Source organism: Homo sapiens, chromosome 6 (assembly GCF_000001405.40).
Source record: "Homo sapiens chromosome 6, GRCh38.p14 Primary Assembly".
NCBI classification, from domain to species: Eukaryota; Metazoa; Chordata; class Mammalia; order Primates; family Hominidae; genus Homo; species Homo sapiens.
In genome coordinates this window covers 154770880-154791003 of record NC_000006.12, presented here as the reverse complement: position 1 = coordinate 154791003, position 20124 = coordinate 154770880, and the positions used below count along the sequence as shown (strand labels likewise).

Sequence of the window (20124 nt, the reverse complement as noted above, 5' to 3'; positions counted from 1 at the left end):
ATTATCACTAATAAAAGCAGAGTGATTATGTAATAACTATTTTCTTGGTACTATCACCAAACAATCTGATTCACAACTGTTTAACACATAACTATTCTGCAAACAAGTACTAAGTCCTAGTTACTACTATCGTGATGCCACTTATTCCATTAGGAAAAAAAAAGACAGAGGCTAAAATCAAGTACGAAAAAAGAGGCCAGGTGCAGTGGCTCACGCCTGTAATCCCAGCACTTAGGGAGGCCAAGGCGGACAGATCACAAGGTCAGGAGATCGAGACCATCTTGGCTAACATGGTGAAACCCAGTCTCTACTAAAAATACAAAACATTAGCCAGGCGTGGTGGTGGGCGCCTGTAGTCCCAGCTACTTGGGAGGCTGAGGCAAGAGAATGGCGTGAACCCAGGAGGCGGAGCTTGCAGTGAGCCGAGATTACACCACTGCACTCCAGCCTGGGCAACAGAGCGAGACTCCGTCTCAAAAAAAAAAAAAAAAAAAAAAAAAAAAAAAAAAAAAAATTCTGTTAAATGTATATGTTTTACAAAGTAAAATAGCAATTTTCAGAATAAAGATCTGGTTCAACTTTAAATCCCTCATAATATTACACTGACATATTTTTAAACTATGTCCAAACTACATTAATGTGCAAATTTGTGTATTTCAAATGAAGCACAAGAAAATTAGAGACTGCTTCATACTTTCTGATTTGACTATTTCTCCACTCTAAAACATGAGCACTTGGAAAATGCCTTATGTTCTTCTGCTTTATATAAAAATCTTTCCGTTTCCAAGCCACCCATCATATACTTTAAAACTGGCCAGCACCTAACAACTATCATTCCATATATCTACATACGATGTCCTTCATTTATGATTGAGATTACAATGTTAATCTACTCTCTCCTCCTATGGTTAAAAGAAAGCCCTATTCCATAAGCCCTAGTATGAGATATTATATTATGAAATCTACACATTCAAGAAAGATTTAATCACCAGAACTGACAGAAATCCAAGTCCAAACTAGTGAAATTTCTAAATCACAGTAAAGTGACTTCTAAAAAATGCATGTATAAAATTTCAGATTAGTACATTACTTCAAGTGGTAGTCTAAGGTACCTATTTTAAAAATCAATTATGACAGGTCATTTAAAAGAAGCATTCTAGGCCAGGCGCGGTGGCTCACGCCTGTAATCCCAGCACTTTGGGAGGCCAAGGCAGGCGGATCACGAGGTCAGGAGATCGAGACCATCCTGGCTAACACGGTGAAACCCTGTCTCCAATAAAAATACAACAAATTAGCTGGGCAGGGTGGCATAAGCCTGTAGTCCCAGCTACTCAGGAGGCTGAGGCAGGAGAATGGCGTGAACCTGGGAGGCAGAGTTTGCAGAGAGCCAAGGTCGCACCACTGCACTCCAGCCTGGGTGAAAGAGCAAGACTCCGTCTCAAAAAAAAAAAAAAAAAAATTAGAAGCATTCTTTTGCCTGCACAGAATTATTAAAGTACTAAGGTAATTAAAAACAAAAATCAAAAACTTTCTGTCTCAAGGAGTATATTCAAGAATAGTTCACAAAGAATACAGCATAATAAATTTATCTCTGGCCGGGCACAGTGGCTCACACTTGTAATTCCAACATTTTGGGAGGCCATGGTGGGCGGATCACAAGGTCAGGAATTTGAGACCAGCCTACCCAACATGGCAAAACTCCATCTCTACTAAAAATACAAAAAAAAATTAGCCGAGTGTGGTGGCGGGCGCCTGTAATCCCAGCTACTCAGGAGGCTGAGGCAGGAGAATCACTTGAACCCGGGAGGCAGAGGTAGCAGTGAGCCAAGATCATGCCATTGCACTCCAGCCTGGGCGACAAGAGCAAGACTCCATCTCAAAAAAATAAATAAATTTATCGCCATAGCTATCCATTATAACAAGATTTTTTTCTGATTCAAGACTATATAATAGTTATGAAAAATAACTACTTAATCTTGTTATACTCAATATAAAGGTGAATAATTTGTGGTGAGCTTTCAAGTTTTGTGGTTCTTCCATAAAACAAACATGAATCTTCATCTATTCTCATCTTTTCATACTTAAATCAACACTGCAATCAACCCTGTCAGAAAAAGCACACCTAAATTTCCAACATCCAAAATAAATAAGCTAACCTCTCAGAGCAAATAAAAGGATAAGCAACTCCTTTTTATGCTCGCTCATGATCCAAAGCTTTTTTACTTGCTATTTATAGAATATTTACACATTTGGATCTTACACATACCAGACTTAGTAGTGTGATTAATAAAATTCTACCATAATAGAAGAATTTTAATATGCAGTTAAATATCAACTCATGTCAAATAATCACAATTCTGAATTGACTGTGTGTGTGAATAAGTTTCATGTAATTCCAAAAGCTTATTTTAGCCATTTTATTTAACACCAATTGCTTCAACAAATTAAAAAGTAGCAAATCTGCTACATCTTTCTATACTCTCTGTTTGAGAAATTCAAAGAACAAAATGCAATATGGATACCGTAATAATTAAATATTCAAATTTGAAATAACTAAGAGCAAATGAGAATATACAGTCCTGTGCCACTTAACGACAAGGATATGTTCTGAGAAATGGCGTCATTAGGAGATTTCATCATTGTGTGATGTGTACTTACACAAACCTAGACGGTATAGCCTACTACACACCTAGACTATATGGCATATTCCATTGCTCCTAGACTACAAACATGTACAGCATGTCACTGTACTGCATACTGTAGGCAATTTTAACACAGTGGTATTTCTGTACATAAATGAGAAATGGTAAAATAAAAATATGGTATTACAATCTTAGGAGACCACCACTGTATATGCGGTCTGTCATTGAAACATCATTATGTGGCACATGACTGTACTAAGATAATCTGAAGACTAATTAAGACCAAGAGGCTACTGTATCTACTTTTAAAAAAACAAAAAAAAAAAACCAGTAGCATACCTTGTCATCCCCAGGGCAACGATATAAATTCTGGAAAGTGCTAATGATGTTATTACTAAATCTGGGTGCAAACACATCCTTTTCTTGACCAAACTGATGTCGGGATTGTCGCACAATGGAGTCAATAACATAAAGTCCAGGTACTTTGTATTCTGGTTTACACTGATGAAAAAAAGAAGAATGAAAAGGAAAGGAAACGGAAAGGTAAAATTCTTGATAGACAAAAATCATCAAAAATCCTGTGTAAATACAAAGACATTGCCTATGCTATGGTAATGAATATTCATACATTGACTACTCCAATATCATCAGTTTCTGGAATGGCATTTTAAAGAATCTACTTTGGCTACTCTATACAATCAGAAGTTCTAAAATAGTACTATGTAACTGGCTTCAATGACATAAAACAAAGTGATAAATAAGGTACCATTATAATTTTTAAAATTTGTTTAACCACTGTGAAAAGCTACATGGAAGAAAGAAGCAAATTCAGGAAAGAAGGGCTCTAGCAAACACACTGCCAACATGCCTCAGACTTCATCTGGAACACACAACAAAAGGGTTCCTACGCAAATGAAAAGAACAATGCCAAATGGCAAATTATAACATTGTTAAATACAGAGGCCAGAGTTTCCATTTTTTTTCTCAAATATAACATCTATAATCCTGGGGATCTATCCTATGTCATCCAGCCTGGAGTGCAGTGGTGCCATCATGGCTCACTACAACCCCGACCTCTCAGGCTCAAATGATCTTCCATCTCAGCCTTCCAAATAGCTGTGACCACAGGTGCACAGCACCATGCCCAGCTAATTCCTGTATGTTTTTTTGGAAGAGACTTGGTTTCACCATGTTGCCCAGGCTAGTCTCAAACTCCTGGGCTCAAGCAATCCTCCTGCCTAGATCTCCCAAAGTGCTGGAAATACAGGCACGAGCCACCGTGCCCTGCCTCCCCTACTTTCTCAACACAAGCTTTTTTAGCCTATGTAGTTAGGGAAGCACAATGAAGAATCCTTTTACTTGCAAGCTTACTGCACAGTATCTTTAGATACACATACATTAACATTTTGTGGGACAGAATTTCCTTCACTGGTACATTAGCATTTTTGCTACATAAAATGGCAAAAAAAGTTCTTTAGTATGATTTAATGTTTTAAATAATTTTAATACTTGGAAAACTTGGCTAAGTCATCAACTAGAAACCTGAGAGAAGAATCAAGACAAAGAAATCTGAAATACTTTAAAATTTTCCTCTTTACGTACCATTAGACTCAAAACAAGAATTCCTAAGACTCTCTAATTGAAACCGCCTTTGCAAAAATTGTAACTGAGGAAGTTATGACAGTGAAAGCGAGCAGACCTAACCAACTCCATCTTGCTTCTAACCTTCAAGCTGTCCTTGTCATTCCTGGGCCTGGGCCGAACTAACCTTGGGAGGGAATTTAGTTTACGGTTTGACTCAGAAACAAAATATTTAATAATAGCCCTTTCCCAAAAAGACCCTCTTCTTGCCTGGGTACCAGTCTGCCTTTGTAAGACTAACAAATTAGCTACAAGATTAGAAATTACAGTTTAGGGTCACGCAGCCTCTGGCTGCAAGAGTCTGAACCTCCCCAAATTGCTCCTGAGTATAACATCACTATCTTAAAAGATCAGTGCTTGAGATATTTTGCAGACCTTTCACTGGATGGATCAGCTGATGTCACCCAGGCTGGTAATCTGGCTCAACCAGTTCTGCGATCCCACCCAAGAAGAGAAGACAGCAAGAAAACCTCACTTGGACCTCCCTATGATTCCATCTCCAACCTGACCAACAGCACTCCCCACTTCCCGAGCCCCTACCCACCAAATTATCTTTAAAAACTCTGATCCAACCCCGAATGCTCTTGGAGACTGATTTGAGTAATAATAAAACTCCAGTCTCCTGCACAGCCGGCTTTGCGTGAATTACTCATTCTCCATTGCAATTCTCCTGTCTTGATAAATTGGCTCTGTCTAGGCAGCAGGCAAGGTGAACCCACTGGGCAGTTATACAATGGCATACGGTATTTTTACTCTAAATAATTTCCTAAAGCGTATCACATTAAGTTTTTATAGATATACCATTTTTCAACTATATTCTAGTAATTTCCAATTTCTTATTTTATAGAGAAATAGCCTTTTTAGGGGGAGAAAGGTAAGAACGAATAGGGAGAATGCACCTTTAAGTATATTTGCATGATTTTTCATTTTGTCATCCAAGTTGTCATCTGCAGGTTATCATCAGTTATGGTTATTTGTCAAAGAACCTTCTAGGTAAGTTGGACCATATATTTTGCAATATACAAATACACCTTAATTATCCTATTTTTAGAATTTGTGCTCCCACCTGCAGCTACTAAAAAGTGATATTAATTTAAAGACAACAAAGCTAGAGTGGTAGAAACAGAATCATGTGGCTGTACCTGCAAAGCACTGAATAATACTAATGGTGGCATGTAAGAAAGATGGCTCGACAGATTAGAAAAATTTAAATCTAACAATACCAAGTGCTGACAAAAATGGGGAGCACCACAAACCCATGCATTGCGAGGAAGAGAGTAAATCAGTACAATCATTATAAAACTAATTTAGTATTATCTAGCCATGGTGAAGAAATGCATATCCTGTAACCAGCAATTCCACTCCTACAGAAATGCAAGCTGTATGAGGATATTTATTACCTTACATATGTAAATATTACACTGTTCACAGCAATACTGTTCAGAATTGCAAAAACTAGAAAACACACACAATGTCAACAGAAGTGGGCAAGCTGCCGTCTATTCACATAATGGAAAATATACAGCAACAGATAGTAATGAATACTGCTACACACCACAAGAATGAATCCTAGACACATGATGTTGAGTAGGAGAACTGTATAAAAAGAATACATACCATAGGATTACATTAAAAAATTTAAAATACATTAAACCACTTTAAGAATTCATTTTATACAAAGTAAAACTATAATGTCAAGCAAGGACGTGACACAAAATTCAAACTGGTTACCTGGGTAGGGGGTATGCAAGACATGATTAGGAAGAGGCACTTGGGGCTTGTGGGCTTCAAAGTTCTACTTCTTGAAATGAGTGGGAGCTACATAGGTCTTCTCTTTATAAAAATTTGGCTGTATATGTTGTTTTCTGTACTTTTCTACAGATGTACATAGAAATTTCAGAATAAAAAGAAATACAGTTGTCCTTCAGTAGCCTTGGGGGATTCGTTCCAAGACCCCTGAAGATACCAAAATCCGAGGATGCTCACGTCCCTTATATAAAATGGGCAGTATTTGCATATAACCTACGGACATCATCCCATCTACTTTAAATCAGCTCTAGATTACTGTGAATACCTAATACAATGCCTACACATCACTTCATTCACATTCTACTCAGTGTATAGGAAATTCAAGTTTTGCTTTCTGGAATTTCGTGGAATATTTTTTCCCCAAATTTTGATCCCAATAGGCTGAACCCATGGGTTGGAACCCACAGAAACGGAAGAGTGACTGTAATTATATAAACATCCCTGGTTTCTTAAATAAAGCAAGAGGCAAAAGTTTCTCTAATCATAATGATTAAGAATGACTGATAAGCTTAAGATATATTTGAAATGTAAATTTAAAAAGTGTGGAACTTGTGTTGATCTAAAATATCCTAGGGAAGAGGAACTTTAATAAAAATACATATGAAAAGTGAGAATCTGGAAATATACTCCTTTCAAACTATTTGTGCCCATGTACAAAAATCTCTTTGTATCCTACCTCCAAGCATAAAGGTATACTCATGATAAAAGTCCAGTTACAGAATACTGCACCCTACATGAAAAATAAATAAATAAATATATATATATATATATATATATATATATATATATATCTCAAGACACCAGAGATAAGTAAATATAACAGCCATCTTTCTTTTTATTTTTTTGAGACGGAGTCTCGCTCTGTCACCCAGGCTGGAGTGCAGTGGCATGATCTCGGCTCACTGCAACCTCTGCTTTGTGGGTTCAAGCAATTCTCCTGCCTCAGCCTCCTGAGTAGCTGGGACTACAGGCATGTGCTACCGCGCCTGCCTAATTTTTGTATTAGTAGAGACGGGATTTCACCATTTTGGCCAGGCTGGTCTCAAACTCCTGACCTCTCAAGTGATCTGCCCACCTCGGCCTCCCAAAGTGCTGGGATTATAGGCGTGAGCCACTGCACCTAGCTAACAGCCATCTTTCAATGTGGACTCAATCCTTCCTCTGGAAAAATATCAAAGAGAAGAATAAATGTTTCGCTTCTTTGAAAAATATATACATATCCACTGCAAAATATCAACCACCATTAACAACCATGTACATACAGCTACCAGATCAACTTTCTAGAAAACAAAAAACTTTCATGATGATAATCTCTAGACAGTTTAGCACCATCTTTTCATTTATTATTTACAAAGTAAATGTAACTTGAAAATCACCACAAATAAGCCACATTTCCTGCTCTTACTAAATATGTAGCAGGAAATTTGAAGAAGGTAATCATAGCCAAAAGCTTACAGATTAAGGCAATAGTAACTCATCTACAGACCACTTTCAGAGCCAGAAAGATGAAATTTATTCCTGACCTCACCGTATCTAAGAGTAGCCACAGTACCATAGAATGTATTTCACTGTAACAAAGCATCTAGATTTTATCAAAATAAATAGTTCTGAATGATAATATTCGATCTTATTCTGAATCTAGTAGACACATTTGCTTGTAGTACTCATGCAAAAAAAGGCAAGGGATTTCATACAGACAAAAAGAGTTGGGTAAACTCTACATATTTTTGGAACAGAGCTGAGGATTTCATTTTTGCATTTCAAACCAGCAAATGAGAACAGAGCTATGGATGGTAGAAAAGTCACCAAATCATGAGGTCTCTGGCTCAAAATAAAATTTATTGCCTTTAGGATTCAGGATAACTAAGGTAAGTTAGTTATTTATAATGCAAATATAGGGATCTATGATGGTTAATACTGAGTGTCAACTTGACTGGATTGAAGGACATAAAGTATTGATCTTGGATGTGTCTGTGAGGGTGCTGCCAAAGGAGATTAACATTTGAGTCAGTGAGCAGGGGAAGGTAGACCCACCTTTAATCTGGGTGGGCACCATCTAATCAGCTGCCAGCAAGTATAGAGCAGGTAGAAAAATATGAAAACGAGAGATTGGCCTAGCCTCAGAGCCTACATCTTCCTCTTGTGCTGGACGCTTCCTGCCCTCGAACACTGGACTCCAAGTTCTTCAGTTTTGAGACTCAGACTGGCCGTCCTTGCACCTCAAGCTTGCAGACAGCCTGCTGTGGGACCTTGTGATCGTGTAAGTTAATACTTATGTTAATATTTAATAAACTCCCCTGTATATATGTATACCCTATATATGTGTGTATATATACACATATCCTATTAGTTCTGTCCCTCTAGAGAACCCTGACACAGGATCATAACAAGTTCTAAAACCTGTCTTCTGAAGTTTCCTTATCTGTTTCTAACTCCCGCCTCTGCTGCTGCTGCCGCCCCCATTTTTTCTGTTTGTTTGTTTTGTTTTGTTTTGAGACAAGCTCTTGCTTTGTTGCCCAAGCTAGAGTGCAGTGGCACAATGATGGTTCACTACAGCCTCAACTTCCTCCTGAACTCAAGCCTCAAGCAATCCCTCCACCTCACCCACATAAGCAGCTGGGAACACGGGCACTTGCCACTTTGCCCAGTTAATTTTTGTAGTTTTTAGGCTGGGACAGGGTTTTGCCACGTTTGCCCAGGCTGGTCTCAAATGCCTGAGCCCAGCCTTGGCCCCTCCCAAACTGCTAGACTGTAGGCATGAGCCAGAGTGCCCAGGTGCTTCTGTCTTATAAAGCTAAGACACAATCAGCATATGAACTGATTTTTGGCAAAATTAATTAGGACAAGGCCAGAGACCAGAGTATTCTTTAGAGTAGTTTTCTTGGCCTAAAGGAAATCATATTTACTGTTAATTTTTCATTTACTGTCATTTATTACTCCATAAATCTTTCATGACTAAAACATGGGTTCACGGATAATATATGACCAAACTGCAGCCACACTTCTCCCTCACACAATTTATGGTATATGAAGAGAATATAAAATGGTACCGCCATCTTGGAAAACAGTTTGGTAGCTTCTTATAAAATGGAAACATGTACTCACTATCCCAAAGAAATGTAAACTTACATTCACACAAAAACACTCTGGGTATACAAGTGTTCCTAGCAGCTTTATTCATAATAACCAAAAACTACAAACAACCCAGATGAACCCCAATGAGTGAATGATTAAACTGTGGTAAATTCATACCCTGAAATACTACTCAGAAATAAAAAGTAAGGAAACCATATGTCTCTTCTGGTTACTGTAGCCTTGTAGTATAGTTTGAAGGCAGGTAGTGCAATGCCTCCAGCTTTGTTCTTTTTGCTTAAGACTGTCTTCGCTATACAGGCCCTTTTCCTATTCCATGTGAAATTTAAAGTAGTTTTTTCTAATTCTGTGAAAAATGTCAGTGGTAGTTTATGGGAATACCATTTATTCTATAAATTACTTTGGGCAGTATGGCCATGTTCACGATATTGATTCTTCCTATCCATGAGGATAGAATGTTTTTCCATTTGTTTGTGTCCTCTCTGATTTCCTTGAGCAGTGGTTTGTAGATCTCCTTGAAGAGGTCCTTCACACTCCTTGTTAGCTATATTCCTAGGTATTTTATTCTCTTTGTAGCAACTGTGAATGGGAGTTCATTCATAACGTGGCTCTCTGCTTGGTGTATATTGTTGGTGTATAGGAATGCTTGTGATTTTTGCACATTGATTTTGTATCCTGAGACTTCGCTGAGGTTGCTTATCAGTTTAAGGAGTTTTTGGGGCAAAACAACGAGATAAACTCTCACACCAGTCAGAATGGTGATTACTTAAAAGTCAAGAAACAACCGATGCTGGTGAGGCTGTGGAGAAACAGGAACACTTTTATACTCTTGGTGGGAATGTAAATTAGTTAAACCATTGTGGAAGACAGTGTGGCAATTCCTCAAGGATCTAGAACCAGAAACACCATCTGACCCAGCAATCCCATTACTGGGTATATACCCAAAGGAATATAAATCATTCTACCATAAAGACGCATGCACACGTATGTTTACTGCAGCACTATTCACGATAGCAAAGACATGGAATCAACCCAAATGCCCATCAATGATAGACTGGATAAAGAAAATGTGGTACATATACACCATGGAATACTATGCAGACATAAAAAGGAATGAGATCATGTACTTTGCAGTGACATGGATGAAGCTGGAAGCCATCATCCTCAGCAAACTAACATAGGAACAGAAAACCAAAGATCCCATGTTCTCACTCGTAAGTGGGAGTTGAACAATGACAACACATGGACACAGGGAGGGGAACAAAACACATCAGGGCCAGTCGGGGGTGGGGGACGAGGGGAGGGAGAGCATTAGGACAAATAGCTAATGTATGTGGGGCTTAAAACCTAGATGACAAGTTGATAGGTACAGCAAACCACCATGGCACAGGTATACCTATGTAACAAACCTATGTGTTTTGCACTTGTATACCAGAACTTAAATTTAAAAAAAAAAAAAAAAAAGGAAGGAACTATTTGATACATGCAACAACTTGGTTAGATCTCAAAAGAATTACGCTGGGCAAAATAAGTCAATCTCAAAAGGCTACATTTTGTATGATTCAATTTATATAACATTTTGAAATGTAAAATAGAGAAAGAGAACAGGTTAATGACTGCCAGGCATTAGGGATTAGGGATGGGGAGGAGGAGGTGAGTCGAGTATGACTATAGAGTATATAAAAGGGAAACACAAGGCATCCTAGTGGTGAAGGAACTGTTCTGTACCTTGACTATGGTGATGTTTATATGAATCTATATATGTGATTAAACGGCATGGAACTAAATGCATACATATACAAATGAGTGCATGTAAGACAATTAAAATCTGAATAAGGTTAGTGTGTCAACAGGTGACTGTATCAATGTCCTGATTGTAATATTTTACTACAATTCTACAGAACGTTACCACAGGGGGAAACTGAGTGAGGGGCACATGGGATCTCTACATGATTTATTCCTACTGATTTAATGACATGTGAATCTACAATTAGCTCAAAAGTATAAAAAAAAAGTGTATATATATATATATATATACACACACACACACACACACACACCTTATTTTAACCATTACACAAATCTGTTGCTGGATCTCTGATTTAAACAGGGTAATAGCAAAGCATTTAAGTTTTTCCCCATACACTGATTGGCTTCTTCAGATTGACTGTAATTATCTCACGATAGAGTAACTTTGCTCATTCCAGGTCTTCCTAAGATTCTGACACATTTTATTCAAAGTACCCTACCACAAATCAAATCAGTCAACAAGCATTTATCCATAAATTCACTTTTACCTTTTAAACCTTTACTACTCAAATTGTGGTTTGTAAAGAAACATCATCTAGGAGCTGTTACAAATGCAGAATCTCAGGTTCCTCTCCACACTCGGTGAATTAGAATCCACATTTTTAACAAGAATTCTAGGTAAATTCCTATTCATCAAGTTTATGAGGCATAGTGTAAGACATTAAAACTTTATGGCTGGGCGCAGTGGCTCACGCCTATAATCCCAGCACTTTTGAGAGGCCAAGACACATGGATCATTTGAGGTCAGGAGTTCAAGACCAGCCTGGCCAACATGGTGAAACCCCCATCTCTACTAAAAATACAAAAAAATTAGCTGGGCGTGGTGGCGCATGTCTGTAATCCCAGCTACAGGGGAGGCTGAGGCAAGAGAATAGCTTGAACTCGGGAGACAGAGGTTGCAGTGAGCCGAAATCTTGATACTGCACTCCAGCTTGGGCGACAGAGTGAGACTCCGTCTCAAAAACAAAAACAAAAAAACCAAAACAAAACAAAACAAAACCAGACATTAAAACTTTTAAAGAAAGATCTTTAATCAGAACAATCTCTGAGAAATGCTTTTAAAAGCGTTAGACCAAATAAAATTTTCTAATCACTAACATTTTTAAACTTTAAGTGAAACAGACAGCATACTTGTTATTCAACCCTTTATCTTAGCTTCAAGTTACCTAAACCACTTAATCCCCAAGTATGTTTTATCTACACACACACACACACACACACACACACACACACACACACATTTTTTGAGACAGGGTCTCACTCTGTTCCCCAGGCTGGAGTGCAGTGGTGTGATCTCAGCTCACTACAACCTCCGCCCCCTGGGTTCAAGCAATTCTTGTGCCTCAGCCTCCCAAGTAGCTGGGATTACAGGCATGCACTACCAGGTCAGCTAATTTTTGTACTTTTAGTAAACACACAGTTTTGTCATCTTGGTCAGGCTAGTCTTGAACTCCTGGCCTCAAGTGATCCACCCACCTTGGCCTCCCAAAGTGCTGGGATTACAGGTGTGGGCCATTGTGCACAGCCTATCAATACTATATTTTAAATACTGAGAAAACAAGAATTTTAAAAAAGAAAAAAGAACTCAATGACATAAAGGCTAACTAACTTATTCAAAGTTACCTAGCCAGTTGAATGACTGAAATCTCACTTCAAATCCCGCACCCTTCTCCCAAGTGGAACATAAACACACTGCAACCTTGCTGAATCCTTAATACCACATGACACCGATTCTCAAACTGGCTCTGCTTACATTTAGGCACATGAACATAGGCAGAATACAAACCTAAGTAAAATTATCTGAAAGGCACTTTTATTTTATTTCTTAATTGGAAAATAAAATAACTGGAATCACTTTTTAACAGTCCATCAAAACAATTTAAACTTGGGTATTTGATCTAAAGGAGAAGAGTACAGGCATTAATCTACAATTACAGCACATGTATGGAAAATTATATACTTACTTTCTGAATAAACTTCTCAACACTCTGTACCACATGTTTATAGAACTAAAAGAGGAAAAAAATGAAGTATGGTTTTAAAATCAGTTTGAGGAGATTGAAATTTCCTGCTAACCATAGGTTTTACATGCTCCAAAGGTCTATCAAAACAATTATCTTAACCAAGAATTTTGAGACAAACATTCTTGTCACTCACCTTTATATGCAACTAGCTGTGCTATATAATTAGTAAAGGGCTTCTCTAAAGTAGATGTGTGATCAGCATGTCCAAAGTGCATTACCTTACCACAGATATAAAATAATGCTATTGAAGACTTTCTGAAAGCATACTTTAACAAACAGTTGTGTTGACTTCAAAATACTTCTAATAAGTACTGGTGGGTGTATATTCTTATATTCATGAAAGGAAAAGTACAGATTTCATACAGTATGATTTTATCAGTTAAATCAAGGGAAATTTGAAAAATCAAGTAACTACAAATAACATTAATAAATGTATGTAAGGTAGTTTTCTACTTCATTTATCTCCTTCTGCTTCTCCTGGAAAATGAACTGCAAGAATACAAAATAAAACATAGAAATGTATAATATCCTAATGGATCAGACAAAATGAATCAGCGGAAGTGAACATGTAGATTAAAAATTAGTAATTGGCCACTATCAATTTTAAGAAAACTTAGAAGATTTAAGTTTCATAAAATATAGCACTATGAATAAACTTGAAATAAATTATAAATTTAGCGTATAGTATATACATGTGTGCCTAATAAATTTTAATGCCACAATAACAATACCATATTGGCGTATGATTTCTGTTTAAAGAACCTGAATTGTGCTTCTCTTTATACTTTTTTTTTTTTTCCCCTTGGAGACACACTCTCACTCTGTCACCCAGGCTGGTGTGCAGCGGCACAATCTCAGTTCACTGCAACCCTCGCCTCCCGGGTTCAAGCGATTCTCCTGCCTCAGCCTCCCAAGTAGCTGGGACTACAGATGCGTGCCAGCCACCACGCCTAATTTTTGTATTTTTAGTAGAGACGGGGTTTCGCCATGTTGGCCAGGCTGGTCTCTAACTCTTGACCTCAAGTGATCCACCCACCTCGGCCTCCCAAAGTGCTGGAAGTATAGGCGTGAGCCACTGCGCCCAGCCTTCTTTATACTTTTCTTCTCGTGAATTATGCTTTTTAAGGACATTCCCTTAGACTGAAGAAATAGGAACATTCAACTAAACCTCAGCACTAAATCCAGTATTTATAATAACAAAAAGAAAAGAAAACATCATGAACTCATATTCACCAAATCAAAACCTACAAGTTTAAGTCTGGCTAAAGTTACTTACAATAAAGTAAGTTTACTCAATGGTTTAAGTTACTTAAGTAAAAAAGCCAAAACAACTAAAGTTATTAGGCACTTTAGAGGCCCCTAAACATTTAAAAATCAATATGCAAAATATTAAATAACTACACATTGAAGGAACAATTCTGGAAGACACCTTGACAGTGTTCTTTGTTTTGTTACTATACATAATTAAAATAAAACTACTTCATAAATCTTAACTGAAAGTTTATTAATTCTCATAGGCCTTCTTCCACAATAGGTTTTCTGGGAGGTTTTGTTGACAATGCAATGTTAACCATCACTCACTAATCATTTCTATATAAAAAACAATGACTTACCTCAATATGAAACACAGTATCATTTAAATCTGATTGATAAAATGTAGTGTTTATATATATACATATATATATATACATATATACACACTAAATGCAGTTTAAAGTAATAAAGTAGTGAAAAACAACTGGTCTAGACGCTTCAAAAATGTCAATGTCACAAAAAAAAAACTGCTGGGTGACAGGACAAATAAGTATAATGTGTGATCTTGACTGGATTATGAAAAAGCAGGGTTGACAGCAACAGCTACTAGTCAACAATGCAACAACGTTAAAATGTTAAGGATGAACTCTATATTAGATAATTCTATCAAAGTGAAATTTTTTGCATGTGATTGGTATATTATGGTTCCCAAGGAAAATGTCTTTATTCTCAGGAGTTTCAAATTCAAGTATGTATCAAGGATTAAGTGTTACTATGAATGAAGTCTGAAACTAACTTCCATATGTAGCAACATGTTAATCAGCAAATCTAAGGGAAGAATATGTCCTGCTCACCATAATAATTTGCAACTTAGGTTTAAATTTTTTCAAAATTCAAAACATTAAAAACAGTAAGTCAAAATAATAAAATATATAATAATAATAAAGATTCTCTTTTTAAAAAACATTACTTCTTTTTTTAAAAAAACTTTAAGAGCCAAGATCTTACTGCGTTGCCCAGGCTGGCCTCAAATTCCTGGGTTCAAGTGATCCTCCTGCCTCAGCCTACCCAGCAGCTAGGACTAACGATGTGTCCCACTGTGTCCAAAGAGTTAGACTCTTGACTGACAGAATTCTGGCTTAAAATTCTAGCTATATTTACTCCTACTACTGCAAATTACTTAATTTCTCTCAGACCCGTCTGACATCTGAAAATAGAAAATACTGTTTGCACCTATACCTCATTAACTCTATTAAGAAAGTACTCTGCTCAACAAGTTATGAAAAGTGCATCAATTACTAATTTTCACAGAAAAAAATACACGTTTCCACACTTTCAAATGATCATGATCATAAAAATCACATAATGCAGAGTAAAGTACAAGAGAATAAAATTATTCCACAATGAGCCTATCAAATCCTCTAAATAATCATGTCTTTGAAACATTTCCTGGCTTCAATGTGCTTATAGTTACTGTCGTTCTCTCTGATTTTCTGCCATGGAAGTACACTGATTTTAACTATTGATGTAAGATACTAACAAGTCTGAAAACTAAGCTTTAGCCACTAGAAAACTGCAAAATCAACGAATCATCTGAATTTTCACCCAGTAGTAATTACTAGTAAATAGGAATCTGTTAAATTTAATACACTGCTGTTATTTAAAAGATAATTTAAATAGTTGGTGCTTTTGGTTACGGTTAATAATTTAATTCAGGGCAGGAAAACATATCACTGAATATTCATAGGTTAGTACCTACTTAATTAGAAATAAGTACTCATTCATTCTCAATTTTAAGAGGCCTACTAATTCAGGGAATCTTAGCCTAGGGGACAAGAACTTCTCGGGGAAAAATCTATGGCTGAGCTTGAAAAGATCCTTTTGCCAAAAAGTTTCTATAAAATTTTGCGCATATGTTTATTTCTCCAGAGGATCCAACCTTTTCCTGAGATTTTCAGAACTATTCATGAGTTAACATAGGTTCAAAACCTACTTTATGAGAGCAAAGGTTAAATGTCTATGGCCTTTTCCCACAGTTCAAATACCTGATACAATGAGTCACAACTGTTTTCCTTAATGGCCTATTTTCAAATCTATAATATTAATAGAATCAATAAGAAAAAATGAATATATCAATATATAGAAACTTTTACCAACTCAAATTTCAAGGTTCTGCCAAGAACCTTGTGGCAAAAGACAGTGTGGCAAAAGACAGTGTTAAACACATTCTCCATAATGTGGATATATGCAAAATATTATCTAAGAAAGGTGAGGAAAAATGACTGCTTCAAAAAATTTATGGAAGAATGTTTAAGGAAGAACATTTATCAAAATGTTAAATGTTCAGGAGGCTGAGGCAAGAGGATCACTTGAGCCCAGGAGGTCGAGGCCACAGTGAGCTATGATCGTGGCACTGCAGTCCAGCCTGGGTGACAGAATAAGACATTGTCTCTAAAAAAGAGTAATAATAAACATTAAATGTTTATCTCTAGGTGGGAGAGTCTACAGGTGACAGATTTTCTTTTTTGTGTTTTTCCACAATATGTGTTAACACTGTAAAGTGAAAAAGAACATATAATCCATAAAAAAATTATCCCCCATCCAAACTATTAATATAGTTTTTTCTTTTGAAAATAGAAGAGTAAAATTTATTACTCACCTTAATAGCTTTGATGGCTGCCTTAGTAATTTGGGTCATTTTCGCTTTCGAAATGGGTGGTTTATAGTCATTCAGGGAATACAACTGATGAAAAAAGAACAAATTTACATACAGCAAAACTCTCCAAGCAATTACATGAAACTACCAAACATGTTCATTTTTATATTCTCAATGAAACCAACATACTGCTTTTCTTTTACAAATCAAGCTCAACATCACTGCCCATAAGGCAAATGCAAATCAAAACTATAATGAGCTACCACTTCACACTTACTTGCTTATAATCAAAAAGACAGTAACAAGTGTAAGCAAGGATGTGGAGAAACTGGAACCCTCATACAATACTGGTGGGAACGTAAAATGTTGCAGCAGCTTTGGAAAACAGCTTGACAGTTCCTCAAAAGATTAAACACAGTTAACGTAAGACCCAGCCAATTCCACTTCTAGGTATGTACCCAAGAGAACTGAGAACATGTATTCACAAAGAACTTGTACATGATACTTTTTCCCGTCTGAGGGTTCAAAAAGAAAGAAAAAATAATAATAACCTGTACACGTGGTCATTGTAGCCCTATTCACATAAAATTCATTTAAAATTCATAAAAAAGCAGACACCCAAATATCTGTCAGCTAATGAGTAAACAAATGTATCTATTCGACGAAATATGAGCCATAAAAAGAAAAAAAGTACTGATACATGTTACAACCTGAATGAACCTTGAAAACATTATGCTAAACTAGAGAAGTCAGGTGAAAAAGGCAGCATATTATATAATTCCATTTATATGTAATATCCAGAAAGGGCAAATCTATTGGTGGTTGTCTAGGGCTGAAAGAGCTGGAGATAAATGAGGAATCATTGCTGATGAGTAGAGTGTTTCTTGTTGGGATGATGAAATTAGTTTAAAATGGAACGTGATGATGGTTGCACAGAACCACTGAATTGTATACTTTAAGTTGACTGATTTTATGGTATGTATCTCAATAAAACTTTTTTAAAAATCAAGGGCTCTGGCCAGGCAAGGTGGCTCATGCCTGTAATTCCAGCACTTTGGGAGGCCTAGACAGGTAGATCACCTGAGATCAGGAGTTCAAGACCAGCCTGGCCAACATGGGGAAACCCTGTCGCTACTAAAAATACAAAAATTAGCTTAGTGTGGTGGCAGGCGCCTGTAATCCCAGCTACTTGGGAGGCTGAGGCAGGAGAACTGCTTGAACCCAAGAGGTGGAGGTTGCAGTGAGCAGAGATTGCACTACTACACTCCAGCCTGGGAGACTCCAGAGGGAGACTCTGTCTCAAAAAGAAAAAACAAAAAAAGGGCTCTAATGTTTAACAATAATCCCACCCCATCCCCCACTTTATTGATTGATTGATTGATTGATTGAGACAGGGTCTCACTGTGCCACCCAGGCTGGAGTTCAAGGGCATGATCACGGCTCACTGCAGCCTCTACCTCCTGGGTTCAAACGATACTCCCACCTCAGCCTCCCAAGTAGCTGAGACTACAGGCACACGCCACCACATGGGCTAATTTTTATATGTTTTGTAGAGGTGGTGTTTCACCATGTTGCCTGGGCTGGTCTTGAACTGCTGGGCTCAAGCAATCTGCCTACTTCAGCCTCTCAAAGTGGTGAGGTTACAAGCATGAGCCACAGTGCCCGGCCTACCTCCAAATCTTTGTTTTGAAATTTCTCATATAAGCAAAGGGAAAGAATCCTACTTTAGTGTGAGGGAATCAGGCAACAGACAATTACTGATTAAAACTTCTATTATATGCAGAGATGCTGATTTTTAAGTATAACACTGTAAGATATTAATTAGAAGTCGAAACTAAACTTTGGCCATCAGAACACTGCAAAAACAACTTCAACAGATTTTAAACGCAATTCAAACAGAATTTCTTGGTTAATTAACTACAAACTTAGGGAATCTTGCATAGCTTTTACTTCAGCACCACTTATAGCATTCAATTCTACTCATTTTTGCCCTTCGTATCTCAGAAATCTGCCCAGTTTTTCCCCATATTTGTCTCCTCTCCCTCTACCAACTCGTATTTCAAAATTCTAACCACCATACCATGACCACAGTCCAATTTACCTTAATCTCTCACCTGAAGAACAACGTCTAAATACATGCGGTATGTTCTCCCTACCATGTTTAGAGCTATCTTTTCTTTTTTTCCCCCCCAACTTCTATTTTAGAATTCGGGGGTACATGTGCAGGTTTGTCACTGGGTGTATTTTGTGATGCTGAGGTTTGCGGTACAAAAAATTCCCATCACACAGGTACTGAGCTTAGTGCCCAACAGTTTTTCAACCCCTTCCTCCCTCCCTCTTCTAGCAGACCCCAGTATCTACTGTTGCCATCTTTATGTCCATGAGTACCCAATGCCTAACTCTCACTTGTGAGAACATGCATTTGGTTTTCTGTTCCTGCATTAATTCACTTAAAATACAGCTATCTTTTCAAAAACTAATCTGATCAGGTAACTGACACTCACCCACTCCTACTACCCACCCCCCTTAAAATGGTCGATGCCTTCCCACTCTTTGGATAAATACAAAAAAACCTGTATATTTAAGGCCCTGTCCATTCTAACTCCTGTCTACCTTTCCAGCCTCATCTTACACTATTGTCCCAGCCTTCTATTCTAGACACACAGTCGTCTTTTTTCAGGTCCCTGCCACAGGGCCTTTAAAATAGGCTTGTTTCCTCTATTTGGAATACTCTCTACCAGGGTCTCTCCAATAGTTAATGCATACCCATCCATCTTAAAGCATCACCTAATGAGGAAAGGCTTCCCGACCTCCCCAATCAGATCAATACTCCCTCTTTTATGCTTTCTTTGTGCTATCATTTATAATACCTGTGAAGCATTCACTGCTGTAATCTGATGTTTACTTGTATGATTATTTAACTAATACTTGATTTTTTAAAAGATATGTCACAGGGTGATGCTGACTGACAGTAAGAGACAAAGGACGCAAGTTCCTTTAATGAAATTTAACTTAGTAAGAGTTTAACCAAGGTCAGGCATAGTGGCTCACACCTGTAATCCCAGCACTTTGGGAGGCCAAGGCAGGTGGATCACTTGAGGCCAGGAGTGTGAGACCAGCCTGACCAACACAGCGAAACCCCATCTCTACTAAAAGTGCAAAAATTACCCAGGTGTAGTGGTAAATGCCTGTAATC

At 37.5% G+C, this 20124-nt stretch overlaps 1 protein-coding gene across 5 annotated transcripts in view, besides 1 other annotated feature; it reads right to left on the bottom strand.

Moving 5' to 3' along the window:
• SCAF8 (SR-related CTD associated factor 8) overlaps window positions 1-20124 on the bottom strand; it is a 100867-nt gene that overhangs the window by 43241 nt on the left and 37502 nt on the right. For all 5 annotated transcript variants that reach the window (NM_001286188.1, NM_001286189.1, NM_001286194.1 and 2 more), the window contains 3 exons: window positions 16932-17015; window positions 12959-13003; window positions 2982-3143 (listed from right to left, as the gene is read on the bottom strand). In NM_001286188.1, coding sequence (NP_001273117.1) covers window positions 2982-3143; window positions 12959-13003; window positions 16932-17015 — 291 coding nt within the window. The remainder of the gene's footprint in view (window positions 1-2981; window positions 3144-12958; window positions 13004-16931; window positions 17016-20124) is intronic.
• Window positions 12002-12202: a silencer, noted in NCBI's record as "peak6233 fragment used in MPRA reporter construct". NCBI's record gives its function as "represses an SCP1 promoter by STARR-seq MPRAs in K562 erythroleukemia cells {active_cell/tissue: K562}" and the evidence as "EXISTENCE:reporter gene assay evidence [ECO:0000049][PMID:32103011]".